This window comes from Homo sapiens, chromosome 7, assembly GCF_000001405.40.
Source record: "Homo sapiens chromosome 7, GRCh38.p14 Primary Assembly".
Classification (NCBI taxonomy): Eukaryota; Metazoa; Chordata; class Mammalia; order Primates; family Hominidae; genus Homo; species Homo sapiens.
The window spans coordinates 44,044,689-44,071,213 of record NC_000007.14 but is presented as its reverse complement, the minus strand read 5'-3'; the positions used below and the strand labels follow the sequence as shown (position 1 = coordinate 44,071,213).

Genomic DNA, 26,525 nt, shown 5'->3' with positions numbered 1-26,525 from the left:
TTTTTAAAAATGGAATTGTTGGCCAGGCATGGTGACTCACACCTGTAATCCCAGCACTTTGGGATGCCAAGGTGGGTGGATCACCTGAGGTCAGGAGTTCGAGACCAGCCTGGCCAACATGGCAAAACCCAAAGTGCTAGGATTACAGGCATGAGCCACCATGCCCATCTGTTACTGTTCAATCTTGAGAGTTCTTTATGTGCCACTATGGTGACTGGTAAATATTTTTTCCCAGTGTGTAGACTATCTTTCTTCTTTTAGCACTGTTTTTTTCATAGTAAATGTATTTAATTTTTGTGAAGTCCAGTTTATCAATTTATTCAGTTTACCAGTTTTTTTCTTATGTTTTTGGAGTCCTATCTCTGACCCCAAATCACAAAGATTTTCTTTGCTTTCTTTTATAGTTTGTTTCTTTGTTTTCCCCAGAAACAGGGTCTTGCTCTGTCACCCAGGCTGGAGTGCAGTAGTATGATCATAGCTCACTGCAGTCTCAAACTCCTGTGCTCAAGCAATCCTCCTGCCTCAGCCTCCCAAGTAGCTAGGACTACAGGCACAAGCCACCAAGCCCAGCTAATTTTTTTTTTTTGAGACGGAGTCTCGCTCTGTCGCCCAGGCTGGAGTGCAGTGGTGCGATCTCGGCTCACTGCAAGCTCTGCCTCCCGGGTTCACACCATTCTCCTGCCTCAGCCTCCCGAGTAGCTGGGACTGCAGGCACCCACCACCACGCCCGGCTAATTTTTTATATTTTTAGTAGAGACGGGGTTTCACCGTGTTAGCCAGGATGGTCTGGATCTCCTGACCTCGTGATCTGCCCACCTCGGCCTTCCAAAGTGCTGGGATTACAGGTGTGAGCCACAGTGCCCGGCCTTGAGTTAATTTTTATATAAGTGTAAAGTGGGGATTCATTGTTTTGCACGTGGAAATCCAGTTGTCCCAGCACCATTTGTTAAAGATACTATTCTTTACTCATTGAATTATTTTGGCACCCTTGTCAAAAATCAATTAACCATTGTGTGAAGGATTTTTCCCTGGACTCTCAATTTTTGCATATGTACTCATAAGAGGTTGGTCTGTAGTTTCCTTAGGTTGTTTGTCTGGGTTTGGTATCAGGGTAATACTGCCCTCAGAGAATGAGTTGTTACCTTTTACTTCAACCTACTTGTATCCTGTTATATTTAATGTGAGTTACTTAAAGACAGCATATAATTAGGTTTTTATAATCCAAACTGATAATATGTCGAATTGGCGTGATGAGGCCATTTATGTTTAATGCAACTATTGAAATGTTTGGCTTTAGATCTACCATTATGTTGTTTTCTGTTTGTTCCCTGTTTTCCATTGCTGTTTCTTCTTTCCTTTTTTCCTTCCCTCCTATCTCTCCTTCTCCCTATACACACACACACACACCCCCAACACACACACATAGTGGTTGTTCTAGGGGTTCTAATACACATAGTTTTTTTGTGTTTTTTTTTTTTTTTTTTTTGGAGATGGAGTTTCGCTCTTGTCGCTCAGGTTGGAGTGCAATGGCACAATCTGGCTCACTGCAACCTCCGCCTCCCGATTTCAAACAATTCTCCTGCCTCAGCCTCCCGAGTAGCTGGGATTACAGGCATGCACCACCACACCTGGCTAATTTTGTATTTTTAATAGAGACAGGGTTTTGCCATGTTGGTCAGGCTAGTCCCGAACTCCTGACTTTAGGTGATCCACCCACCTTGGCCTCCCAAAATGCTGGGATTACAGGCATGAGCCACCCTGCCCGGCCAAATACACATACTCTTACAGTCAATTTAGATTAATGTTTTGCCATTTCAAGTAGCATGTAGAAACCTCACTACCATCTAGGTCCCTTCACCCTTCTCCCCTCATGTTCTAGTTGTCTTACATCTGTATACACTGAAGCCTCCATCAGACAGTATCATGACTTAATTCAACCATCACATAACTCTTAAAGAAGTAAAGAATAGTTTCATATTTATGTGGACTTTTGCCATTTATGATGTTCTTCCTGCATTCCCAAAGTTTTGAATTGCCCCCAGTAATCTCTTCTGTCTGAAGAACTTGGTTTAACATTTTTTTAAAGCAGATTCTTTGGTTATGAATTTCCTCAGCTTGCCTTCATTTGAGAATGTCTTTATTTCATTCTTTTATTCCAGTAAAATAGAAATTTTTACTGGATATAGAATTCTTGGGTGACAGTTATTTCAAAACTAAAAATGTTCCACTTCTTTCTGGCCTCTATAGTTTCTGGTGAAGATCCAGTCTTTCAAAGAATTGTTCACCTGAATGAAATGTATCGTTTTTCTCTGGCTGATCTTATTTTTCTTGGTCTTTAGTTTTCAGAAGTTTCTTTATGATGTGTCTAAGCTTGGACTTTTGTTGTTAATTTATCCAGTTGTGTGGTTCACTGAGCTTCTTGGTTTGTAAGTTTATATCTTTTTCCAAACTATCATCTAATTTATGGACTCCATGCTTTGTCATTTCCATTCTGTTTAAGAATATTCACCAATACTTTCTGAAGGCTGGTTATAAATAGCTGCTTTGAAGTCTGTATCTGATCATTCCAATAGTTGAATCATCTCAGGATGGGCATGTATTGATCATCTTCTTTTCTCCCATGTTAAGATTTTCCTGGTTTTCATACACTGGGTTATTTTGGATAACCTGGATATTTTAAATATTATGTTGAGACTCTGGACCTTGTTTAAATCCTAAGCAGAATGTTGACTGTTTAAAGTGTTTGCACTACTAGTCATATTAGTCCTGTATCTACACCGGTCAGTCTGGGACCTGCAATGTGCATCTAGGGTCAGCCCTGTGCGCAGCTTGGCAGCAAGCCAATGACTTCACATATCACTTTATCGGATCACTCACTTCATCTCTCCCTTCTCTGTACTCTCCCTGAAACACAACAGCTCCCTGCAACATCCCTACCAAGACCTCCAGCCACAAATCTGGGGCTCTTTCCCTACCTACCCTGCTGCATACTCCCTGAAACTGCATCCAGGGCCCAGCGCAGGGGGGCAGAAAGGAGCTGCAGAAGGTGGTTGCCCCATGCTTTTGGGGCCATGGCTCCTCTAGACAGAGGGTAGCGTTACCCTCTCAGGTTTCAAGTGCGTACCCAGCTCACACTACCGTCACTGTGCCACCACTGCCACCTCCATGTTACTGCCCAGGAGCTGGGGTAGAGAAGAAAAGAAAAATTGGAGGGATTCCCCCAACTCACTGACTTCGAGGGGCTTCACATCCCACTCCTCTGATTCTTCCTGGAGCTCTTTCTGTTGGTGCACTTGAGGTTTCAAGCCGCCTGTGTGTCCAGGCTAGGCAATACTTGTTACCTCACCACTTCTCTGCGGAACTTTGAATCTGATCTCCTTTTCTTATCTGTCTACTGACAGCTGCTCCTGCATCTGTCCAGGATTGGTGGCTGTCAGTGGGAGAGACATGGGAAGATGCTCCCTCCACCTTCCTGGGACCACCTTGTTGACTCAGCAGCCTTCCTCGCCGCCCACCATGCTATGCCTTCCTGGATGGAGGCCCTGAGGGTGGCTTTTGGTTTTCCTACCCCTGTACCCCTCCAAGAAAGCTCTGGCACACTGCAGAGGCCAGCAACTACTTGTCAAATGAATCAAAGGAAAGTCAAGCCGGAGCCAAGGGTCAGAAGCAGGGGCTTGCTTCCCCGAAGTCCAGCCCTTCTTTGGGCTCCCCTTTCCTTTTTGACACCTCCTGCTTGGTTGGCAGTGAGGTCTCCCAGGTCTGGGGGATCCTTGCCACTGCTTCTGCACCCAGCCCTGGCTAAGCGGCCTTGTTCTCATCAAAGCTGCCGAGACCTGCAGGGTACTCAGCTTCTACTTCCACTCCTACACAGCTGCAAGTGACTTGAAAATATGACCATGCTTCAAAGTCTCCAGTGATTCCCACTGTGTTGGGACACAAAGCCCACCTCTCTGCCATGTGCCCCTGATGGTCGCTGCCCCAGCTTGTTTGCTTTCTGTAGGGCTTGGGTCTTTGCCAACCCCTCTACCTGAATTGCTCTCCCTGTAGGACTCATCATAGCTGAGGCCTTTGCACTCCGCTCTTTCCACTCACATGTCACCTCAGGGCTGTCCCCGGCCTCTCCTTTCCCATCTCTCCCAGTACATTATGGTCCTTCCTTCCTAGCATCTGGTGCTATCTACGGTAGGCATGTTTAGCTGCTGGTACGATCCCTCCTCCACTGAAATATGGGCTTCATGTCTGGCCCCTGTGGGACTGCCAGAGCCTGGTCCTCAGTCATGTTTAGTTGGGCTAGTGAATCAACTCTTGGTCAAAGGGACAAAAGCAGATGAGGAGATGTGGCTTCAATCAGGATCAGTGTGGAACAGTGAGACCTGCGCATGGCACTGCTAGGAGGGATGGGTTCCACCTGCCAGCCTTGGGGGTCCTGGCAGCCGACAGGACTTTGCCCACTGGGACTTGTCTGCCAACCTTTGGGTACAGAGCCTTAGCTTCACAGGCCCCAAGCCAGGAGCCCCTCCCCAGGTAGGCCAGCAGGGATGGAGGGAGGCCTGTCGAGGGTTTCTTGCACACTCAGATCCAAGTCTCAGAGTGGTGGTCCCTCTGCTGGCCTCTCACCTACCCGCTCCTGTTATCAGAAGTGTCGCAGGTGACAGTGTGGTCACTGGGGTGGGAGGAAATGGGAGGCCCTGGATGGGGCCCATGCCCAAGGGTCTGGCCATGGCCCCTTCATTAGGGCCCCAATTGTGACTTTATTGCTCATAGTCTCTTCCCTGCCTTGGTGGCTCTCATCCCCCAAACCTGAATGCAGAAGTCTTGGTCCTAGACTCAACTCCGTGCCACCCTTCAGCCTACGTTGTGGGTTCCTGCTAAGCTGAGCATTTACCTAACAATCAAGACTTCTGACAGTCCTCAGTCCTGCCCCCAAACCCCCTTGGATTTCTCTTTTTCAAGGTGGTTTCGGCTAGGAGAGTGAGCGTGGCTTGGGTGAGGGCAGATAGGGTGGGAGCATGGGGCATGTATGGATGAGACCTTGACAAAGGGACCCCGGAGGAAAGACAGGGGCCCTTTCCCCCTTTGTCCTGGAAACCCGGCTCAGCCCCAGCCCTTGCCCATTCTGCTGCTGCTGCCTGGTACCTTCCACAAGGCCAGACTCCTCTCCACAAAGCTGTGGTCTGCACCAGCTCCTCTGGCTCTCCTCCTCTGCCTGCTGAGGGCCGCCTCCTAGCCTGGCTGCCAATCACAGGAGAAAGGGGTTGGGATTTTGTTTGTGCCTCTGTCTGAGCAGAGAATGGCTGATAGGCCACTGAGCGTTGCCCTGGAGAGCCCCTCTGTCCCTGCTATCCCCATCTCCCCTGGCCCAGACTTCTGCCCTTCACGCCCATCCCTGACCAGCAGCCCCACTCAGTCTGGGCTCTGGGTGCCAGCTGGTTATAGACATGCCACCTGAACCCAGGCCAGGAGCTGGTGGATGCGTGGGGCTATTTTAAGCACAGCCTCTTGGCCTGCACACTCCCCTGGCCCCCAGCCCCCAGCAGCTCAGCTACTGGTCACCTGCCACCGCCTGGAATGCTGATTGGCAGTTGGCTGGGGTGGGTGGGGGCTGGGAAGACACTATTATAAAGCTGGGAGTGTTGGGAAGCAGCCGTCCCCGTCCAGAGTCCTCTGTGGTCCCTGCTGCCACCATGGCCACTCACCGCCTCGTGATGGTCCGGCACGGCGAGAGCACATGGAACCAGGAGAACCGTTTCTGTGGCTGGTTCGATGCAGAGCTGAGTGAAAAGGGGACCGAGGAGGCCAAGCGGGGAGCCAAGGCCATCAAGGATGCCAAGATGGAGTTTGACATCTGCTACACGTCAGTGCTGAAGCGGGCCATCCGCACCCTCTGGGCCATCCTGGACGGCACGGACCAGATGTGGCTGCCTGTGGTGCGCACTTGGCGCCTCAATGAGCGGCATTACGGGGGCCTCACAGGCCTCAACAAGGCAGAAACGGCCGCCAAGCACGGGGAGGAGCAGGTGAAGATCTGGAGGCGCTCCTTCGACATCCCGCCGCCCCCGATGGACGAGAAGCACCCCTACTACAACTCCATTAGCAAGGTGGGCTGCCTTTGCTGGGAAGGCCTCTGGGAAGCTGCAGAGTGGGGAGTCGGGTGGGGGCCCACTGGCTTGGGAGGGAAAGCAGCGTGCCTGTGTCCCCCAGGAGCGTCGGTACGCAGGCCTGAAGCCCGGGGAACTCCCCACCTGCGAGAGCCTCAAGGACACCATTGCCCGGGCCCTGCCCTTCTGGAACGAGGAGATTGTTCCCCAGATCAAGGCCGGCAAGCGAGTGCTCATTGCAGCCCACGGGAACAGCCTGCGGGGCATTGTCAAGCACCTGGAAGGTGAGGCCACCTTCAGGAGCCTGGGCAGGGTGGGTGGGCAGCAGCCCCAGCTGGCTTCTCATCTCAGCAAAGTCTCTCGCCCATGGACCAGGCTTTCTAGGCGTGGGGCTCCACATCATTCACTGAAAAAGGAGGGCTGAGAAGCCATTTTTTAGTTTTGTGAAATTTTCCCCATTTCTGTGTAACTGGGACACACTCCACAGGGGCTGACTGCACTCGAAGCTCGCTGTGTCCCGAGGTGGGGCAGGCTCCAAAGGTGGCATCTGCCAAGGGACACCCAGCTAGGAAACGGAAGGGCTGGGCTTAGAGCATCTGGCTCCAAATCCCAACTTACTGTGGGGCCCTGGACAAGCCACCTCCATCTCTGGGCCTCTCCCTTTTCCGGGGTGGTGGGGAGCTCCCCCTGGTACTGAATTCCTCTTGATGTAGGCTTGGACCCCTCGCAGGGCCCTCCCCCATCAGGTCCTCAGAATCCCTGCATGAGCTTCACCACCTATCTCCCTCTGGAGCCCCTCTCTGGGCAAAGGAAAGACCAATCAAAAGAGGGGTGCAGGACTATGGAGTGGCCAGACTCTGGGCTTGCAGCTGGGCTCCCACTGAAGAGCAAGGGCTGACAAATGGGCCCGGGATGCATGGGCGCAGTAAGGCCTCGCCCAGAGTGACTGGCACCTCCGCTCCGCCTCCCACCTTAGTATTCTGACACAAGGGCAGTCTAAATTAGCATCTGAATGACCTTAAAGCTTGTTGAGTCCTGGAAAGGCTAGAAGGGTGTGCCCCAGACCTCCTGCTCCTAGGGCCGTTGGGCAGTTGGCCAGAGCACCCAGACCGGCAGGCCCCGGAGACCCAGCCAGCCCCAAGCCTGCCCGCTCCAAACACGGACACCTGGCACCTGGCACTGGGGCCAGGCAGAGGGAAGGACCACCTGCCTCCTCTCCCTTCCGGAGACTTCATGCAGCCCCATGACCCTCCCACAGCCTGGTTTGGGGAAAGGGGACGCACTTTTGGTGGTGAATATGAGGGATTTCACTCTGACTCCCCAGAGAACATTTTCTTAAACCCTCCTGCACGGAGCAGGGGTGGAGTGGCGCGAACATCAAAGGTCGAGCTGCTATTCCCAGCTCAGGGGCTGCAGGAGGCAGGCAGGGTCAGGTTTCGACCAGGCTCGGCCTCCCTGTCCCTCCTCCAGCTCCATTCCGCACTTGCTCCTCTGTTCAGGATGTCTAGAATTTAGAGCACTTTAGAAACCAAAGGGTGCTGGGCACGGTGGCTCACTCCTGTAATCCCAGCACTTTGGGAGGCTGAGGCAGGCAGATCACCTGAGGTCAGGAGTTTGAGACCAGCCTGACCAACATGGTAAAACCCGTTTCTACTAAAAATACAAAATTAGCCGGGTGTGGTGGCGCTCACCTGTAATCCCAGCTACTTGGGAGGCTGAGGCAGAATCACTTCAACCCAGGAGATGGAGGTTGCAGTGAGCCAAGATCGTGCCACTGCACTCCAGCCTGGGCAAGAGGAGTAAAACTCCATCTCAAAAAAAAGAAAAAGAAAAAGAAAAGAAAAAAAAAAAACAAAGGGTGAGTGTCCCTTCCTGACCCTCAACTTCAGTCTGGCTGGAGTCACACTGGGCTGAGGGAACTATGGACAGCACCACCACAGATCACAGCCACTTGGGTGGGGCTGAAGTCCCCATTTTTTTCACCACTGGGCTATTTCTGTAGGCTGCTTGGTCTAACTCAGTTACTCCTTGACCTTTGGCAACATTTCTGTGGCCTCGTTCTCAGGGCTGGGAAGGAATTGGTGCCAGGGGAACTGGCTCTGTGGACCATAAAGGTCACATAGTGTCTGCTGTGTAAACAGGCTGGGGACAGAGGGGCTAAGGACACCTATTCCTTCCGGCATAGGGATGTCAGACCAGGCGATCATGGAGCTGAACCTGCCCACGGGGATCCCCATTGTGTATGAGCTGAACAAGGAGCTGAAGCCCACCAAGCCCATGCAGTTCCTGGGTGATGAGGAAACGGTGCGGAAGGCCATGGAGGCTGTGGCTGCCCAGGGCAAGGCCAAGTGAGGGGTGGGCTTGGGCAATAAAGGCACCTCCCCCAACAGCCTGGAGTCCAGCGCAGCCGTGCATGCCAGGCTCACACCGCCATCAGCTGTGGGGACTCCAGAACCAGGGGTGCAGCCACCCACCCTCCCCCACTCCATACGTGTGTCACCAGGGGCAGGAGCCTAGTACCCACACCTAGTCATCAGGACACTGAGCCAGGGCTGCAACCACTCCATGAGTTTGCAGTCAGGACAAGCCTGTGGTGACCCTGAAGCTTCAGAGCCACTTAGTAACCATGCTCCAGAATTGGCGTGCTTGGGGCCAGTTAGAAGAGGCCAAGTGACCCAGCTCTCCCCATGGGGAGCAAGGACCACAGCCCAGGACACGGCTTCCTGGACAGCTTCCTGCAGAGGGCAGGTGGTCCTCTGCTGTCCTTGCAACCCCCGGGTGGCACTTTGAGCCCTGCCTCTTGGGTTGGGACAGGCAAGCCCACAGGGGGCCTCAAAGCTGGCAACAGCCCAAACCTGGGTCTTCCATGGGAGTGGAGGGGAAGTTCCCTCTTCATGGGAGAGGCACCAGGAAGCCCTGGCGAAAAGGGGAGAGGCCTGAGCACAGGAAGGCCAGGAGCAAGGTTGGGCTCCATGCAGCCTTCACCCCAGGCACTAGCAGGTAACACCTTGAGTCAACCGCCTAGCAGTCTGCCTAGCAGCTCTGGGGCACAGGAGGGACCTAATTCCCCGGATGCTCAGTGGGTGCCAGGTACCTGACGCCACACAGTGGGCCATCCCATGTAGGCAGAGGCTCCCTGAAGCTGGGAGCAGGGCAGCCCTTGGCCTCTCCTAGAGGAACTGGAACGCAGGAAGGCTCCAACTTCAGTCCCATCTTAACATTTAGCCTCTTCCTGGTGGCTGATCATCATCAGCCACAGTCTCAGGGTGAGGGTGCTCACCCCAGACACGGAGCAGAGGCAGACACTGGGCAGGTGGTGGGGTGCTATTCCCACATGGGAGCATTCAGGCTACAGCAGGACAGGTGAGAGCTGCGAGCCTGTGTAGACCAAACTGGGAATTCGTGGTCCAAAAGCATATTTGTTCTTCAGAGACACGGATGAGCTGGGACAGAAAATAGGGGAAGACAACAGGCCAAGGCCACTCTGTGTTACTTTTCCTGAAGTCAGAATCAGTTGAGGCACACACTGGGGCCTGCAGGCATCGAGTGAGCCGCGTGGAGGAACATGTTGTGTCTGCCGTTTTTGAATACCCAGGGTGGGAGCTTGGCCATCTGCATCCCCACTTCCCATAGCCCAGGCAGAGGGACAGAGAAATGGAGTGGGGAGCACAGAGCAGGCTCCAACAAGACAAATTCCCTGCTGCCAAACCACCATGATCCACTCTGACTTTGGTCACAAACTCTGCTAAAAACAATTCTCTACGTTCACTGTTCCCAAGGGTCATTCTAAACAGTGGTGGCCACCACCCCTTAGAAGCAAGAGAAAAAGAAAAAAGGCAAATAAATGCAGAAGGCAGCCAGAGCCTCCCAGATGCCCCTGCTCAGGACCCTTCCCCGCAGCTTGGCAGTGGCCACTCAGGGCTTGGCCACAGGCAGGGCTTGGCTCAGTATCCTGTCAGGGGCAAGAGCCAAGCTGTCTGGGAGGGTCGGGGGATGCAGGAAGGATGTGTGGGAATCACCAGGCCATTGCTGCATTTGGGGTGACAGGCTGAGTCTGCCAAGCCGGAGGGAGCCCTGAGGCCTCATCCTCACTGGGGGTCCTATTCCTGGAAGAGTGCTGAATGTCAACTCCCAGGCCTCCTCTTCCAGCAATAAGGAAGCCATGTCTGAGAGGGGAAGGGCAAGATGTGCCCTCAGCCTCACTCAATGAGCTCCACGTAGTTGGCAGGGAACATGCCAAAATGGCCATCCGGCCCATAGCCACGCCACCAGCCTTCGTCGATCACCTCGATGCCCGTGATGAGGTTCTCGGGGTCAAAGGAGATCTCTGTGTCGTCGGCTGCAAAGAGGATGAGCCCAGATGCATATCAGGGGCTCCCTCCCACATCCCACCTGCTCGGGCAGCCCACGGCAGCCCCACACTGCTGCAGCACACCTCGCTGCAGCTCTGGTTCCTCCTCAGAAATATCCCTGCCACCCTGCTAAGCCTTGGCCAACACTGCACCCTGTCCCAATGCGGCTCCAGTGACCACACCCCCAGGGCATACCCTCCTACAGAGCATTCCCAAAAAAGGCTAGAGTAGACACCAGCCTGCTCCGTAGGGGGCCTCCACCCCATTCTCCAAGGCCTCCACCCAGGGACGCCTGGTGAACCAGCATCCAGGCCTGGCCCACCTCCCTGCTCAGAGTCCATGTTCTGTGACAAGGGTGGCAACTGGGATTCACATCAGCGGCCAGCAAATAGCTAATGAGGAACATGTAGGGAGGCCTGGGCTGTGCAGAACACTCTAGTGCCACAGTCACCCCCACTCCAGAGGTGCTTCTACCCCTAAACGCACCGCCCACCCTCCTGTCTTCTCTTCCTGATACCCCCTGGTGCCATCTTCCCATAAAACCCCAGACCCTCTTGTCTCCTAACCTCAGGACCCTGTGGTCTGTGCCAGCCAGGCCAGGGCACCTTACCTGCCTGGTAGTCGTACAGGGCACGGGCACAGAGCCCTTGCCCACTGAGCCCCTGGCCCTGAATGTGGTGGTCAATGTGCTCAGAGCCAGCACCTTGCTGCTGCACCTGCCCAGGGATGACAAAGGTGTTACCCCAGACTCAGCCCTTACACACAATCGCTGCTCTGCCCCACATGGCTCAGGTCAAGCTGGGAGTACGCAGAGGGCAAGCAGTCTACAGGCTCGGGGGCTGGGCTGCTGCTGTCCCCGCCCTACCAGAGTACAGAAGCCACAGGACAGTGCATAAATCCCTCAGCCATAGGCTGCAAGGTCCTCTTCCCACCCAGCACCTCCTATAGAGTGGGGCGTGCCCTGACAATTTATAACACAGGGCTGCTCCAAAAATGCATGTGCTTTAAAACCTGTTGCATGCCCCCAGAAAACTCAGGCGGCCCGTGATAAGTGTTCCTGAGTATGCAGCCCCTTCCTGGCCCCAGCCCCAGTGTAGGAACCCACCAGTGGGGGCTGCTCGTAGAAGGTCTCCTGCTCTGGAGGTTCCTCATACACAGCCTCCTCTTCTGCCTGCACCAGACATGGAGGAGTGCTGGGCGCCGGCTCCTCAGCAGGGAGATCTGCACCAGGGAACACAGCAGGTTCTCACTCCCACACATCCCCCTTCTCCACTGCTGTCCCCCAGGGTCCCCATGGGGTGACAAGCGCCTTGCCTGCCCTGGGCCTTGAGATGGCAGCAGCTGGCTCTCTGCCAAAGTGGGTCTCTGGTTGGGTGAGCTGCTTCTGCAGGAAGGGGCTCCTCAGCTTGCCTGCAAACCCGGGTAAATATATACATCACTTCAGAAACACCACCACACACCCACGCACCCCACAGCACCCTCCACCCTGGTGTGCTCGAGGCAGTCTCATGGGGCTTGCTCTTGCTAGTGCAGGAACAGAGGCCCCAGGGCCATGTGCTATGTGGTGACGTGGTAGACAGCGCAGCCCAATATCTTTTGGAGGCCAAACTGGTGACCAGTGTGGTCACTGATGAGGTCAATGGCCCCAGGTGTCCCTTCTCCTCACTCACTCACCCGTCACCGATATATCTGTCACTAGCCTTGGGGGAGCCCACATAGGACCCCAGGCTCCCCCTCAGCCTGCTGCTGCCTCATGGCCAGGCCCAAAGGGAGAGCTCACCAGGCTGAGGACTGGAGATGGAGGTGGTGGACATGGCCCTCTCCTTCTGCTTGAAAATCTCCCTCGGGTGCACGGCAGACTCCTGGAGGGAAGCACATGTTGACCCCTGCAGTGGGCAAAACCTTCACCACCTCTCCCCAGATCACAGCCCCTCCAGCTGTCGGCCCAGTAGCCCCTCAAAGGTGAGTGTGGGGCCAGGAGGCAAAACATGTTCTCAGGAGAGAAGTCATTTAAAAATAAAAAGTAACGTTAAAAAAGGAAGTAAAACACAGAAGCCAAGGGGCTCCCAGGGCCTCCCCCAGGACCAGGTGTGGTCCAAGCCCGACGCTTCCGCCTTTGGCTTTCCTCTCTACTGCCACCTCTTGAGGTGCCCAGATTCCAACCTGCCCCAGCTGACTGCAGGGCAGCCTCTGCCCAGGTCTGGGCTGGGCCCTCAATCCGAGATCAGGGACTTCTGCGTGTGGCCAGGACAGGTCCAAACAAGTAGAGCACCCCCATCTTACCTGCTCATTTCGGTTCCTTGAAACCACTTCTTGCTGCTGCTCCCACGTCCTGCTGGGAAGGGCCGGGTGGGGCACAGCTGAGGCACAGTCACAGCTTCTCATGCCACACCCCTTAGTCCTCCTCGCCTCCATGGGATGGAGCAGGTGCCCAGCAATGCCTCAGGGTGGGTCCCCCAGGCCAGCCTCCACCTCTGGCTCACCTCTGGGGGCTGGCCTCGCCACCCTGCTCCTGATAGCGCTGCTCCCGGCGTGCAGCCTCACGCAGCTCACGCTCCCGGCGCTCCTGCTCCAGCTGCCGCTGTGCCTCCTCGGCCCGCCGCTTTTCCTCCAGCCGACGGTTCTCCTCCTCCTTCTGCAGGGAGAGCCACTGCCCGCTCAGCCCTATGCTGCCACTTCAGCCTAATCCCCTGCCCAGGACTGAGTTTTAGGCACATGGCCAAAGACGGGCACCAGAGCCAGTCGATCATTAGCCTTGTGGCTTAACTTACCCGAGCCTCAGTGTGACCATCTGTAATGGGCACCAAGGAGAGTGGATGCTGCATGAGCTCACTTGTGAGGAAAGATGAGCCACAGCAAGCAGAACACTCCCACGTGCCCAGCATGCCCCGGGGCAGCACTCACCTCTGCTTTGGCCCAGAAGCTGTCTTTACCAACCCTTTTAATCTCAGACACGGCATTGGTCTTCTGGTACACAGAGCCCTGTAGGGGACAGCACTCATTAGAGACCTGGACCCAGGTGGAAGGCCAGGCCCACAGGCACCAAAGGAGAGAATACGCTAAACTTGCGACAGCACAGGTGAGTGCTGCTAGGACTGGACCCAGCAGAGGCAGCAGAGCACTGCCCAGTGACCCTCAAGGAGACACACACCAAGATGACCTGAAAGAAGCCCAGGACACTGCCCCAAGGGGGATGCTCAATCCCAGACAACACTAGAGGGGTCTCTGGTGGTCTCTCGCCCTCATGGATGGGGGCCAGGGCAAGAAAGGCCCCCATACCCCACCTGCAGACTCCTAGACATTGGGCAGTTCTGAGGCAGGCCTCTGACCAGGGGCACTCAGACAGCTGACTACCACAAGAGCATCCAAGGAATCACGTCCAACCACACGCATGCGGACGCAGCTCCCAGCCATCAGCTCCACACAGCACTGGGGCCACAGGCCCACAGGTATCTCCCGTGACTCCAAGGGGCCTGCTCTGGTTTCAGGCTCCGCCTTGATGCCTCCTTTAGTTCCTCCACGGTGGCTACCTCCAGGGGCAGCCCAAGATGTTCCAGTGCCATGACCTTGAGGGCAGCCAGACTATCATAGCCATGCATGCTGCAGAGCCTCCACTCTGACCACACAGGCTGGGCTCCAGAGGAAGGCTCCAGAACAGCTAGTCCAACCCCTAGGCAAGGTCAGAGGGCTATTCCTGCTCATCTGGTCAGTGGGCAATCACCACAGCTCAGGGGTTACCATCTGCAGAAACTAAGCAGGCATGGGCCCAGCCAGCCCGGGTGCTGGGAAGTGCATATTCCTGGCCCCCTGCCTCAGGCCCTGAGCAACAAAAGGGCTGGCGATGGGCAAGCAGCACTCACCACTGGGGCCTGGGGTCCCACGTCCTGGAAGCGGCCACTCTCCTTGTGAAAGCTGTAGTTGGCACCTGAAGCCTTGGCCACCTTCTCCATGATGCACTCAGGCTCCACATCCTCCTCGGCCCGTGCGTTGATGGTCACATGGGCCCCCTGCAGCAGGAGCAGCACTTGAAAGAAGGGCTTTGCAAGCCCAGGAGATGGGCCAAACTCCTGTCAGTCCATACAGCACGGGCCACTACTATACCACACAGGACTGGAATCAGGAAACTAGAAGGCACCTGTCTGGCTGCTGAAAACTGAGGCACGAGTTCCCCTCAAGGGCTCAAACAAACCAACTTGGAGCAAACCCCTCATTCTTGTCCCAGTTCACGTGAGACCCTTGACCTCCACTGTGCTATCCAGTGGTTCCTTCTGTAGCTGTTCCCTGCTGTGTATCAATAGACAGCCCAGGCATAATTTGCATCAAAGGCCTTCCTTCTAATCAATGAAAACTAATTTTAAATGCCATCTGGAAGCCACAAAAGACCCTGAATAGCTAAAGCAATCTGAAGCAAAAAGTACAAAGCTGGAGGCTTCATGCTACCTGATTTCAAATTAAACTACAAAACTACAGTAAGCAAAACAGCATGGTACAGGCATAAACACAGACACAACAATGGAAACTAACAGAGCACTCACACACACAGCCAACTCATTTTTAACAAAGGTGACAGGAACATACACTGGGGAAAGGACGGTCTCCTTCATAAACAGGGCTAGGAAAATTGGATATCCATATGCAGAAGAATGAAACTAAATCTTCATCTTTTACCATATTAAAAAAAAACTCAAAATGGGTTAAAAAGACTTAAATGTAAGACCTGAAACTATGAAACTACTCAAAGAAAACACTGGGTAGATGCCCCTGGACATTGATCTGGGCAAAGATTTTTTTTGGGTTAAGACCTCAAAAGCCCAGGCAACAAAAGCAAAAATCAACCAATTGGACTACATCAAGCTAAAAGGCTTCTGCACAGCAAATGAAACAATCAACAAAGTAAACAGACAACCTACAGAATGGGAGAAAATATCTTCAAACTATCCATCTGACAAGGAATTAGTGACCAGAATATATAAGGAACTCAAACAACTCAGTAGCAAAAAAATAATAATCTGATTTTAAAATGGGCAAAAGACCTTAACAGATATTTCTCGAAAGATGATATACGCATGGCTAACTACATACAAAAAAATGCTCAACATCACTAACCATCATCAGGGAAATGCAAACCAAAACCATAACGGGCTATCATCTCACCACAGTTAGAATGGCTATTATAAAAAACATAAAAAATAAATGCTAGCAAGGATGTGGAGAAAGGGAAATTCTTATACACTGTTGGTAGGAATGTAAAGTAGTACAGCCATTATAAAAACAGTATGGTTTTTTGGGTTTTTTTCTGAGACAGAGTCTTACTCTGTTGCCCAGGCTGGAGTGCAGTGGACAATCTCGGCTCACTGCAACCTCCACCTCCCAGGTTCAAGAGATTCTCTGCCTCAGCTTCCTGAGTAGCTGGGATTACAGGTGCCCGCCACCACACCTGGCTAATTGTTGTATTTTTTTAGTAGAGACGGGGTTTCACCATGTTGGCCAGGCTGGTCTTGAACTCCTGACCTCAGGTAATCTGTTCACCTTGGCCTCCCAAACTGCTGGGATTACAGGCGTGAGCCATCGCGCCTAGACAACAGTATGGTTTTTAAAACAGTATTTTAGTCCTACTAAAAGCAGAACTACCATATGATCTAGCAATCCAGCTGCTGGGGATATATCCAACTCTGAAGTTCAGCGCTATTAACAATAGCCAAGATACGGAATCAACCAAAACGTCCATCAATGGATGAAAGGGTAAAGAAAATTTAGTATATAAACATGAGGGAATATTATTCAGCCATAAAACAGAATGGCATCCTGTCATTTGCAGCAACATGGATGGAACTGGAGGTCATGATGTTAAGGGAAATAAGCCAGGCACAGAAGACAAGTATTGCATGTTCTCACTCATGTGGGAGCTAAAAAAGTGGGTATCATGGAGGGAGAGAGTAGAATGCTGGTTACCAGGGGTTGGGAAGGGCATGGGGGAGAGAAAATGAAGAGAAGTTGCTTAACAGGTACAAAAGTACAGTTAAATAGAAGGAATAAATTCTAGTATTCAATAGTACAGAAGGGAAATTATAGTTAACAATAATTTTGTGTATTTCAAATTAGCTAGAAGAGAAAAATTGTAATGTTCCCAACACAAAGAAAAGATAAATGTTTGAGGTGATGAACATGCTAATTACCCTGATTCATCGTATACATTGTATACAGGTATCAAAATATGACATGTATGCAAAAAATATGTACAACTATTATATATCAATTTATAAAAACTCTGGGCCAGGTGCGGTGGCTCTCGCCTGTAATCCCAGCACTTTGGGAAGCTGAAGAGGGCAGATCACTTGAGCTCAGGGATTCCAGACCAGCCTGGCCAACACAGGGAAACACCATCTCTACTAAAAATAGAAAACTTAGCCGGGCATGGTGGCAGGCACCTGTAATCCCAACTACTCAGGAGGCTGAGGCAGGAAAATCACTTGAACCTGGGAGGCAGAGGTTGCAGTGAGCCGAGATCGTGCCACTGCGTTCCAGCCTGGGTGACAGAGTGAGACTGTCTCAAAACAAACAAACAAACAAAAAACAAAACAATTAAAAAAAACTCTGATAAAAGAATGCCATGCATGTTTTCTACAAAAAGTAAGCCAATGATTTCTTCATAAGAAGCCAGACCCATGACGTCATTCACTGTTGCTATACAGGTTGAGCATCCCTTACCTAAAATTCCAAAATCTGAACTGCTCCAATGAACATTTCCTTTAAGCATTATGTCAGCACTCAAAAAATCTCAGATTCTGGGCTGGGCGTGGTGGTTCACGCCTGTAATCCTAGCACTTTGGGAGGCCAAGGCGGGCAAATCACGAGGTCAGGAGATCGAGACCATCCTGGCTAACACAGTGAAACCCCGTCTCTACTAAAAATACAAAAAATTAGCTGGGCGTGGTGGCGGGTGCCTGCAGTCCCAGCTAATCGGGAGGCTGAGGCAGAAGAATGGTGTGAACCCGGGAGGCGGAGCTTGCAGTGAGCCAAGATCACGCCACTGCACTCCAGCCTGGGCAACGGAGCGAGACTCAGTCTCAAAAAAAAAAAAAAAAAATTCAGATTCTGGAGAATTTCGGATTTTGGATGCTGAACTGAAAACATTCCCAAATCTGAAAAAATCCAAAACATTTCTGGTCCTAAGCATTTCAGATAAAGGATACTCAAACCTGTATATCGATAAGCTGGGAATTCTCTTATCAGCTCCTAGATGGAAACTGAGGTATAGCTGAAGAAATGTTGGCAGAACGAGAAATCAAAATTCTGAGTCTCCTTTGCCAGAGAAATGCAAAAAGTTACCTGACAAGTGACCAACAAATGCTTTTGTTACAAATAGTTTTTAAAATTTAAAAAGGTTCTATTATAGGACTGACATAACTCCATGTAGAGGGGGCTGGAAAGGAATGCATCAAAAGGGCACATGCGTGCTAAGATGGTGGGCACTCTCCCCTTCCTCCAAATCCTGACGGTATTACTAAACTGTTTAGAGGGATCATAAAACAAAACAGAACCAGGGCCCACCCTTCTCACGGCACCAGCTCCAGCATAGTCCTTTATCCTGCCCCACTGAGGCAGGCCTGTAGGTGGCCCTGGCAACATCCTGACCTCCCATGCACTCACTGACCGAGAGTGAAGCAGCCTCTGGTCATGCCCTCAAAGGCAGGCAGAGAGCATTAGCTATGAGCACACTCCCAACTCCAGTTCTGATTCCCACTTGCTCGCACCCAGGAACCTGCGAGACCTCAAGCCTGTGAGGCCTGTTCCCAGTGAAGCGGGCCTCACCTGGCCTTACCTTCAGGAAGCTGGCCATGGTGCTGACGTGGCTGGCACAGGCTCCCTTCCGCACATCGTTCACGCCCTCGCCTGTCTGCAACACAAGGATGCCCAGGTTGACCCAGGCCTCCCCCAAAGCCACTTCCCTTCCCTGGGGACCCAACATCTACCCTGTGTCCCAGAAAAGAGAAAACTGCAACCCCCAAAGCAGAACCTATTCTTCTGACTGCATCACATGGGTGAGGTAAGTTCCCATGCCTCCAAGGGGCTCATGGATTCTCCCTGGGCAGGATGGCTACCGGCTTTCGCTGTGGGGGCATTTCATGAATTTTCTTTTTTTTTTTTTTTTTGGAGATGGAGTCTTGCTCTGTGGCCCAGGCTGGAGTACAGTGGCGCAATCTTGGCTCACTGCAACTTCTGCCTCCTGGGTTCAAGCAATTCTCTTGCCTCAGCCTCCTGAGTAGCTGGGACTACAGGTGCACGCTGCCATGCCCAGCTAATTTTTTGTATTTTAGTAGAGATGGGGTTTCACCATGTTGCCCAGGCTGGTCTCAAACTCCTGAGCTCAGGCAGTCCACCCACCTCGGCCTCCCAAAGTTCTAGGATGACAGGTGTGAGCCACCCCACCCAGCCTTCAAGAGTTTTCTTGATCCCCACCAAGGGATCAAGGAGGCCCTGTCCCTGTACTCCCAGGCTCCTAAACACTCCCTCAGGCTCTCTACTCCATCAGAACAACCACCCTCAAGAGCACGGAGCAAGGACTCCCTGTGACTGCTTTTAATCCATTTTGCAGGAAGAACTCTAGGCTTGGAAGGTGAATTCTGCATAGCAAAGCCACAGTTATTCTTTGGGCCACAATGAATCTGTCAACTATTCTGCTCATTCACCAGCTCAGAGCTGTTCTATTGATCTACTAAGTCATGCCAGTAAAACACTTTGTTCCTGAAGTCAAGTCAAAACAGGAAAGAAGACAATGGGGTTTCCTGGGTCACACCTAGATGAAACAGGCTCCACATACCCAGTTGATGAGGACAAATTTGGGCAGTCCAGAGTTGGGGTCCTTCACTCTGCAGAAGGCGTACATCACCTTCCCGCTGTTGAGCTCCTCCACCATCTCCTCCAGGCCACCCTCTGCAGCAGAGTCACAGTGAAGGTCAGGGGTGGCCCTGACATTCCCTGCTGGCCCTGGTCCCACCATGAAGGGAGGCCGAGCTGCTTCTAAACCAGGGCTTCTCACCTCTACCTGTATCAGAATCTTTCTAGGGGTATGTTTAAAATCAGAGTCCTGGGCACCACCCTCACTAAACTGATTGATGAGAGCTGGGTGGGACCTAGAAGTCTGCGATTCTGACAAGTACCTCAGGTAATTTTTTTTACCCACACTCGTTTAAAAACCACTTCTCTAAACCCAGAGGTAATTCTGGAAATAAAAACAGGGTCATTTCCACGGCAAACCAGCCACCAGACTTCCAAATGGAGGATGGCTACGTCAAAATTTTATTGTTGCCACAACGTTGCAAAAGGGCCCGGAATAGCAGGGCCTGTAGAGTCACCACTGCCTGCACCTGTGTCTGCTCAAGTTCCAGGGCCACCCAGACGGCCAGACCAGATTGAACATCCTGCAGTGGCGTAACTGGCTCAGTCCTCAGACTCCAGAAGAGAGGGTGATGGGGACAGGGGGAGCACAGGAGTGGGCAGCTCTAAACAATTCTCCCTGACACTGAGGCTTAGCCCTCACAAACTTTTCCAGGTTATAAGGAGGAAGAGCTGATCAGGTATTTCATCTACAGGGCTCCGTATGAGTGGAGGCAGTCATGAGCCCCACTCTGGGGACAGCAAATTGTTGCATTTGTGGCAGAGCCCTGTCCTGTGCCACTGGGGATGACAGGAAACTCTCAAGTTGTTGATCTCTGCAACTCCCAGTCACCTGCCACACCACATGTCTACTGTTCAATGGCAATCCTTCTAGAAAGGGGACACCTCCCAGAAAGATTGTGAAAGGAAGGGGCTTTCTACCAACAACAGACATCAAACCGTGGAGAACCACTCCGAGTGTTCATTGAACAATGAAGCCATGTCCAGCTCAGGACAGAGGGAGGGGTCAGGCAACTTCTGGAGGAGGAGCAGTCACGGGTGTCAGCTGAGGGGCCCACAGGTCACACTCTGACGAAGCCTACCCTGACAACCTCTGCTCTGTGCTGGCCAAGAGCCTGTCCTTCCTGTAGAGACCTCCAGAGCCTCCCCCGTGACTATCTGCAGTGATACTGCCTCTCCCAGTGAGGATGGGGCCCCTGCAAGCACTCGGCACAAGACCAGGGCAGGACAAAGGGAGAAGAAGATATGTCTGTGGACTTTCTTTCCACCAGCACCAGTTCTGGGACTGGTGAGCTTCCCACCGCAGCTCCCAACGCAGGCTGCCCACAAGCTGGAGAGGCCTGTTTCCCTCTCAGCTCTCCCCAAGTAGACAAAGAGAAAGCACTCCCCTGCACCCAGAGGGAAGGAGAACCAAGGAGGAATGTTTTCACTTACACATATCTGAAACCTAAGGCCTGCCAGAAGTGGCCAGTGAGCACTGGAAGCCCCATGTGGCTCAGTGGACCAAGACAGCTGAGTGCGCTGACCCCTCGTCGTCACCCTCCTACCTCCTGGTGTCCCTGAGTCCATTTGGAGTCATACTCACCCCCTGTGCCAGCCACGCGGATGTCATTGCTGTTGCCTTCATAGGTAAAGAGAGCCCTGAAACGAAACACAAGTGAGCTCTGTAGCCAGCACCTTGGGTTCCATCTCTCCTCACCGTATCCACCATGACTTTCCACTACATCCCAAAGAGCTTGGGCTGACAGTAACACTGTGGGTGGGCACAGGCCCGTTCTCACTTTGCTCTGACCCACTAGGCAGGTTCTCAGTAGGCAACTGTGCAGCCTTCTCAGCTCTGCAGCTGGGAGGACACTGGCCTGACTTACCATGGGGTGGGGGTTGTGAGGGACAAAGCCATGGAGATGGGAGCACACATCTACTATGAGGAAAACATGAGCTGTGGAGTTTCCCAATGACTGCTATACATTCATGTGTCAAATACTCACCTGGCCACTAGGTATATGGATTTGAAGAGACAAAACATATCTACATATTCCTGAACCCAGAGCACCCAAAAGGAGAAGCAAGTCGGAGAAATACACACACTGGGCCCCTTGGAAGGCTGCCCACCACTCCTGTGCACGTCTGCCCTGGCTCCAGTGAAGCCTGGTGGGTAGGGCAGCAGGTCCTTCCAGGCTTGAGACTCTTTGGTAAACACAGACTACCACAGGTTGTGTTTATCAGAAACCACAAAGGAATGACACGACATGAAATCACACAGTTAAAGCCATGAACCTGCCAAGCCCCTCACGGACAGGTACCCATGAGCAAGTTTTCTATCTAGCAGAGCCTTATCTCTCCATGGGTGACATGGGGCCATGGCTTTCTTTTCCTGAAAGATTAATTATTCATAAGAACTTTGGGCTGGGCGCAGTGGCTCACGCCTGTAATCCCAGCACTCTGGGAGGCCGAGGCGGGCAGATGTGGATCACGAGGTCAGGAGATCGAGACCATTCTGGCTAACACGGTGAAATCCCATCTCTACTAAAAATACAAAAAATCAGCTGGGCGTGGCAGCAGGCACCTGTAGTCCCAGCTACTCAGGAGGTTGAGGCAGGAGAATGGCATGAACCCGGGAGGCGGGGCTTGCAGTGAGCCAAGATCGCGCCACTGCACTCCAGCCTGGGCAACAGAGTGAGACTCCATCTCAAAAAAAAGAACAGAACTCTGGGCCAGGTGGGTGGCTCGTGTCTGTAATCCCAGGACTTTGGGAGGCTGAGGCAGGAGGGTCGCTTGAGCCCAGGAGTTTGAGACCAGCCTGGGCAACATGGTGGGACCCTGTCTCTACCAAAAATACAAAAATCAGCCAGGCGTGGTGGCATATGCCCGTAGTCCCAACTACTCGGGAGGCTGAGGTGGGAGGATTGCTTAAGCCTGGGAGGTCGAGGCTACAGTGAGCCATGATGATGCCATTGTACTCCAGCCCAAACAACAGAGTGAAACCCCAACTCTTAAAAACAAAAACAAAAACAAAACTCTGGTAAAGATTCATTCTGGCTTGCTAATAGCATGAACCTTGCAGCAACTGAACATCCCCAGCAGGGCTGCTGGACATGGGCTGGAGGCACTGACCCACTGGACTATAAGTCAAAGGCAAAACCCAGTCCAGTGTGTGTCATCTCCCCAGGCTCTAAAGCACAGGCCTGCTGAGGCAGGCCAGACAGAAGCTCCAGGGATAAACAGTCGGACAGGAACCAAATCAGCTTCAACTTGGCTTCCCCAGGGCTTTGCCAGTGCCACTGGGCAGAGATACTTATGCCTCAGAAAAATGGAAGAAATTAGACCCAGGCCCAGTGGATCTGGTTGGTAGGGAGGAGACAGGCCTCCGGGAAAAGGCACTCCTTACCAGGAGGGGAGACAGAATACAGGAGAGAAACACTGAATGAGAAACACTCAGAGAAAAGGAACTAGAGAAAAGAACACAGAAAAACAAGAGAAAGATTTGGGAGGTGGCACACTGCCAGCATGAGCTGGGGGGAACTCCCTGGAGGAAAGAAGCCCATTCCTCTTGATGGCCACAAAGCCCTGGCTCCCAGAAGATAGCAAGCTGGCACAAGCAGCAGGTAACAGAAGATGGCAGCTCAACCCAGCTCTTGCAAGAAGGGACTCAACCAGCTGCGATGGCTCATGCCGGTAATCCCAGCACTTTGGGAGGCCAAGGCGGGTGGATCACCTGAGGTTAGGAGTTTGAGACCAGCCTGGCCAACATGGGAAACCCCGTCTCTACTAAAAATACAAAATTAGCTGGGTGTGGTGGTGGGTGCCTGTAATCCCAGCTACTTGGGACGCTGAGGCAGGAAAATCACTTGAACCTGGGAGGCAGAGGTTGCAGTGAGCCAAGATCGTGCCACTTCACTCCAGCCTGGGCGACAGAGCAAGACTCTTGTCTCAAAAAAAAAAAAAAAAAAAAAAAGGGACTCAGCAGCTAATATAATAAGAGCCAAGCTCAATGCCTGCCACCTATCCCTCTGACTTGATCCCTCTCTACCCCAGGCCACCTTTAAGAATGTTCCCAGCGCAGAGGCTCATTCCCAGTTCAGAGGCCTTTTGAAAGAAGGGCGAAGGAAGTTTCAAATCAACATGAAAAAACATGGTGCACTGGCCTCTGAACAGCAAGGCATATGGAGTGTCAAGCATCTTATAATTCAATAGTGCCTTTGAAAATAAGTACTGAGAGCCTACTGCTTATTAGTTACAGGAATGCAGCTATGAACAATCCCTAAAAGGTCCTGCCCATGGAACTTACTTTCTAACGGAAGAAAAAACACACACCTAACACTAACGTACTATTAGAGAGTGAAGCAGGTGCTGAAGGTGACACATGAACCAGGTGAGAACAAACCATGCCAAGATACGGAGTAAGCAGGGGCGGGAGACAGATCCAAGATGGAGAGCTGATGTCATGGTTGCTCCCCACTCTATCTGCCCTCCCCAATGCCAGCACTGTGTGTGTGAAACCTCTTATGACCCACCAAACTAGAGACCACCTCTTCTTCCTCTGATATCTCTACCACTTTTTCTGTATGACTTGGTCCATCCTTCATCTAAGCATCTGCCACATGTAACAACCGTGCCTCAAGCACCGAGGACAGAGACAGAGCCCACCCCACCCCTTCTAGTAAGAGATAAAGGTGACAAGAAAATCCATAAGGATTTCCAGCATATTTTGTGTCTGGCATGTGTCTGAAGGAAGTCAAACAGAAAGATGGGAAAAAGTGCCTACAAACAAGGAGCTAGGAATCAAGGAAGGCCTCTCTGAGAAGGCAACCTCGGGGCCAAGAAGTGAAGGCTGGGGAGCCACCTGGGACGATGTGGAAAAAGTGTGCTCCATGCAGAGGAAGCAGCAGAGCAAGGACTCTGAAGAGGAACCAGCTTGTAAGTTTGAGGAAGAGAAAGACGGCCAGAGTGGTGACAAACAGGTGTGGCCACAGTGTGGTAAATGAAAGGGGTGGTAGGTTCTGGGTCATGCAGGGCATCAGCAGGGCAAGGAGTCTAGGCTTTATTCAACATGCAACAGGAAGCCACTGTAGAGTTACAGACACGGAAGTGACATGGTCCAGATATTTTTCCGCAGTGTGCAGGAATCTGCCACATAGTATCTGCTGAGTAACTACCTTAATGGCTGTGACGATGAGGGTGGAGGTCAGTGGGTTATGCTGCTGAGTGACACAACCTGTAGTGCTGCAGGAGCCTGGAGGTAGGGAGGGAGCATAGCATGGCTGTCTGGGCAGATGAGTCCAGTGAGATGGGTGGGTTCTGACTTCATGAGGGGAAAGAGGAGGCTCCACAACCCTCATGAGGGACAGAGAGTAGATGGGGTGGGTAAGCACCGGGCCAGGAGTGGTAGCAGACAGCTCTCGTAAGCAGCCCAAGGAAAGGCTAGGAACATAGGAGGTCTGAAGAGGGAAGCCCAAACTGCCAGGTGGGCTGGGAGGCATCATCCCAAACCAGTGATGGTTCCTGAGAAGACTGATGATGAAGAGAGACCTGGAAGGGAGATAGATGAGGAGTGCCAGGAAGCTCCTAGGTAAGTCTGCCAGGGTAAACAGAGTGATCAAGAGCATGTTAAGAAGCAAAATCTTTAATTTGGCAGGGCTGAAGAGGGGCAAAGATTCTTCTGGGTTCTAAAGCCAAGTGGTATGATGTGGACATGAAAATGGGGCACTCATTGCAGAGATACTTTTGACTGGGTTTGAAGTAACAGGAGAGGTCTAAGAGAAACACGAACAGGAATAGGAGAGAGGCAAAACAGAGGGCTGACATCTAGAAACTCTCCTGAGAAAAATAACACTGACTGACGTGGGTAAATCTGAGGGATTATAAAGCAGGCAGAAAACCCCACCAAGGAAATGACGAGATATCCTTCTTTAGATGCCTCCAAAACAGAAGATGTGCTGTTTGGCATAAGTGCCATCCAGGGCACTCAGACCTGACAGGAGAGTCTACAGAGACCCCATAGAACCAAGCAACTGGTGTTCTAAAGCTCTTCCCCTAATGGCCCAGGGCTGAGGAAAAAGCAAAGCCATAACATCCTCAGGGTCACAATAGTACACTGCATAAAAGCCGCTCTGTGCTGGGCACTACGGAGAGCAGAGGAGATGAGAAAGCACTTACACAAGTGGAGATGGCCCCCACACAAGGGGAAGACAGTTGGGAGGGCCTCAGTGCTGACCACAGTGTGGCCCCACCACGACTCAGACTCCAAGGCCCAGTTTCTATTCCCCAAAGTTGGTCACCTTAGCCCACCATACTCAGCATATTTCTCAGAACTGGGATTTCTCAAAACTGGTCAGTAAAAACAATTTAAGCAAAGAGGAAAGTGAGGATATCTTGGGTGGTAGAGGGAAAATGGGACCTTTTCCCAAATAGATAGCGAGCATCCTACTTTCGTACATCTTCCCATGGCTCAGGCACAAGAAAGAGTACACTTTTTGGAGAAACGAAAGTTCTGAAGTCCACGTTCACAGACAGCCAAGAACCCAGATCCCTGAGCTCCTCGTCTGAAGCCCCCAGGGCAGGGCTCACATTCACAGCCCGGCTGCCAGGCCGCTCTCAAATGCCCATCCCCGAACACAGCGTTTGCAAAAAAACCGGGCGTGGCTTCCGCCTTCTCAGAGAGGGCTGTGCAGGAACCCCTTCTCCAGGGAAGTCCCAGGACTGGAAAGAAGAACCTGGCGAAGCTAGCAAGCACGACCAGGCCGAGGATCCAACATGGAAGCCCGCGAAGCCCACAGTGGGTGGCGAGCGACAGGGGGAGGGGCGGGGACTCACTGGGTCCCCCCAAGCCGGGTTTAACCTGTCCACGATCGGCGGGGCAAGGGGTCACGAGGGTGAGACAGCACTCCTGCTGCGGTGTGGAGGGGCAGACAGGTAAGCCCCAGGCCACCTGCCTGGGCACCGCTCCGCGCTCGCGCTCCCGCTCCCCCCGAGTCCCCCGCTCGCCCCAGACAGACCCACCCCTGAGGCAGCCCCTGGCCCGACCCTGGCCCGTCTCGCCGCCCACCAGTCGGTCGGGGACTTCTCGGTGACCACCCGCACGTAGGCCTCTTGCAGCGCTGGCCCGTTCCGGCTCAGGTTCGCCGCCATGGCCCGCCCCGCAGTCTCCGCGCCGCTGCTGTAGCTTCCGGGCCGGGCC

At 52.5% G+C, this 26,525-nt stretch overlaps 2 protein-coding genes and 1 non-coding gene across 8 annotated transcripts, besides 13 other annotated features; 1 reads left to right on the top strand and 2 right to left on the bottom strand.

The window, feature by feature from the left end:
* Positions 1,758-26,512, bottom strand: DBNL (drebrin like). Of its 6 annotated transcripts, none has more exons than NM_001122956.2 (13): positions 26,394-26,512; positions 20,934-20,989; positions 19,272-19,384; positions 18,273-18,347; positions 14,311-14,457; positions 13,355-13,432; positions 12,934-13,085; positions 12,734-12,785; positions 12,231-12,336; positions 11,765-11,860; positions 11,556-11,671; positions 11,061-11,166; positions 1,758-10,437 (listed from the first exon to the last, which is right to left on the bottom strand). In NM_001122956.2, exons 1-13 carry the CDS (start codon positions 26,474-26,476, stop codon positions 10,298-10,300), a joined length of 1,320 nt encoding a protein of 439 aa, NP_001116428.1. In that variant the 5' UTR covers positions 26,477-26,512; the 3' UTR covers positions 1,758-10,297. The 6 variants fall into 6 exon arrangements, with proteins under 6 accessions (NP_001116428.1, NP_054782.2, NP_001349652.1 ...); NM_014063.7 differs by having other exon boundaries at positions 12,231-12,312; NM_001362723.2 differs by having other exon boundaries at positions 12,734-12,782.
* Positions 2,961-3,030: an enhancer, noted in NCBI's record as "active region_25927". NCBI's record gives its function as "activates an Ori minimal core promoter by ATAC-STARR-seq in GM12878 lymphoblastoid cells {active_cell/tissue: GM12878}" and the evidence as "EXISTENCE:reporter gene assay evidence [ECO:0000049][PMID:35858748]".
* Positions 4,631-4,700: a silencer, noted in NCBI's record as "silent region_18140". NCBI's record gives its function as "represses an Ori minimal core promoter by ATAC-STARR-seq in GM12878 lymphoblastoid cells {active_cell/tissue: GM12878}" and the evidence as "EXISTENCE:reporter gene assay evidence [ECO:0000049][PMID:35858748]".
* PGAM2 (phosphoglycerate mutase 2) lies at positions 5,647-8,487 on the top strand. Its single transcript, NM_000290.4, has 3 exons — positions 5,647-6,098; positions 6,202-6,382; positions 8,284-8,487. The coding sequence occupies exons 1-3, from the start codon at positions 5,685-5,687 to the stop codon at positions 8,448-8,450; spliced, it is 762 nt and encodes a 253-aa protein (NP_000281.2). The 5' UTR covers positions 5,647-5,684; the 3' UTR covers positions 8,451-8,487.
* Positions 5,881-5,950: an enhancer, noted in NCBI's record as "active region_25926". NCBI's record gives its function as "activates an Ori minimal core promoter by ATAC-STARR-seq in GM12878 lymphoblastoid cells {active_cell/tissue: GM12878}" and the evidence as "EXISTENCE:reporter gene assay evidence [ECO:0000049][PMID:35858748]".
* Positions 6,011-6,060: an enhancer, noted in NCBI's record as "active region_25925". NCBI's record gives its function as "activates an Ori minimal core promoter by ATAC-STARR-seq in GM12878 lymphoblastoid cells {active_cell/tissue: GM12878}" and the evidence as "EXISTENCE:reporter gene assay evidence [ECO:0000049][PMID:35858748]".
* Positions 6,251-6,310: an enhancer, noted in NCBI's record as "active region_25924". NCBI's record gives its function as "activates an Ori minimal core promoter by ATAC-STARR-seq in GM12878 lymphoblastoid cells {active_cell/tissue: GM12878}" and the evidence as "EXISTENCE:reporter gene assay evidence [ECO:0000049][PMID:35858748]".
* Positions 6,955-7,064: an enhancer, noted in NCBI's record as "active region_25923". NCBI's record gives its function as "activates an Ori minimal core promoter by ATAC-STARR-seq in GM12878 lymphoblastoid cells {active_cell/tissue: GM12878}" and the evidence as "EXISTENCE:reporter gene assay evidence [ECO:0000049][PMID:35858748]".
* Positions 10,588-11,164: an enhancer, noted in NCBI's record as "H3K4me1 hESC enhancer chr7:44099649-44100225 (GRCh37/hg19 assembly coordinates)". NCBI's record gives its function as "activates a minimal SCP1, AML or CMV promoter by ChIP-STARR-seq in primed H9 embryonic stem cells {active_cell/tissue: H9 hESC(primed)}" and the evidence as "EXISTENCE:reporter gene assay evidence [ECO:0000049][PMID:30033119]".
* Positions 11,165-11,740: an enhancer, noted in NCBI's record as "H3K4me1 hESC enhancer chr7:44099073-44099648 (GRCh37/hg19 assembly coordinates)". NCBI's record gives its function as "activates a minimal SCP1, AML or CMV promoter by ChIP-STARR-seq in primed H9 embryonic stem cells {active_cell/tissue: H9 hESC(primed)}" and the evidence as "EXISTENCE:reporter gene assay evidence [ECO:0000049][PMID:30033119]".
* Positions 11,165-11,843: a biological region, named in NCBI's record as "H3K4me1 hESC enhancer GRCh37_chr7:44099073-44099648".
* Positions 11,684-11,843: an enhancer, noted in NCBI's record as "active region_25922". NCBI's record gives its function as "activates an Ori minimal core promoter by ATAC-STARR-seq in GM12878 lymphoblastoid cells {active_cell/tissue: GM12878}" and the evidence as "EXISTENCE:reporter gene assay evidence [ECO:0000049][PMID:35858748]".
* MIR6837 (microRNA 6837) lies at positions 19,385-19,448 on the bottom strand. Its single transcript, NR_106896.1, has one exon. It is a non-coding gene; the product is annotated as a microRNA 6837 (primary transcript).
* Positions 25,814-26,314: an enhancer, noted in NCBI's record as "H3K27ac hESC enhancer chr7:44084499-44084999 (GRCh37/hg19 assembly coordinates)". NCBI's record gives its function as "activates a minimal SCP1, AML or CMV promoter by ChIP-STARR-seq in naive H9 embryonic stem cells {active_cell/tissue: H9 hESC(naive)}" and the evidence as "EXISTENCE:reporter gene assay evidence [ECO:0000049][PMID:30033119]".
* Positions 25,814-26,472: a biological region, named in NCBI's record as "H3K27ac hESC enhancer GRCh37_chr7:44084499-44084999".
* Positions 26,253-26,472: a silencer, noted in NCBI's record as "silent region_18139". NCBI's record gives its function as "represses an Ori minimal core promoter by ATAC-STARR-seq in GM12878 lymphoblastoid cells {active_cell/tissue: GM12878}" and the evidence as "EXISTENCE:reporter gene assay evidence [ECO:0000049][PMID:35858748]".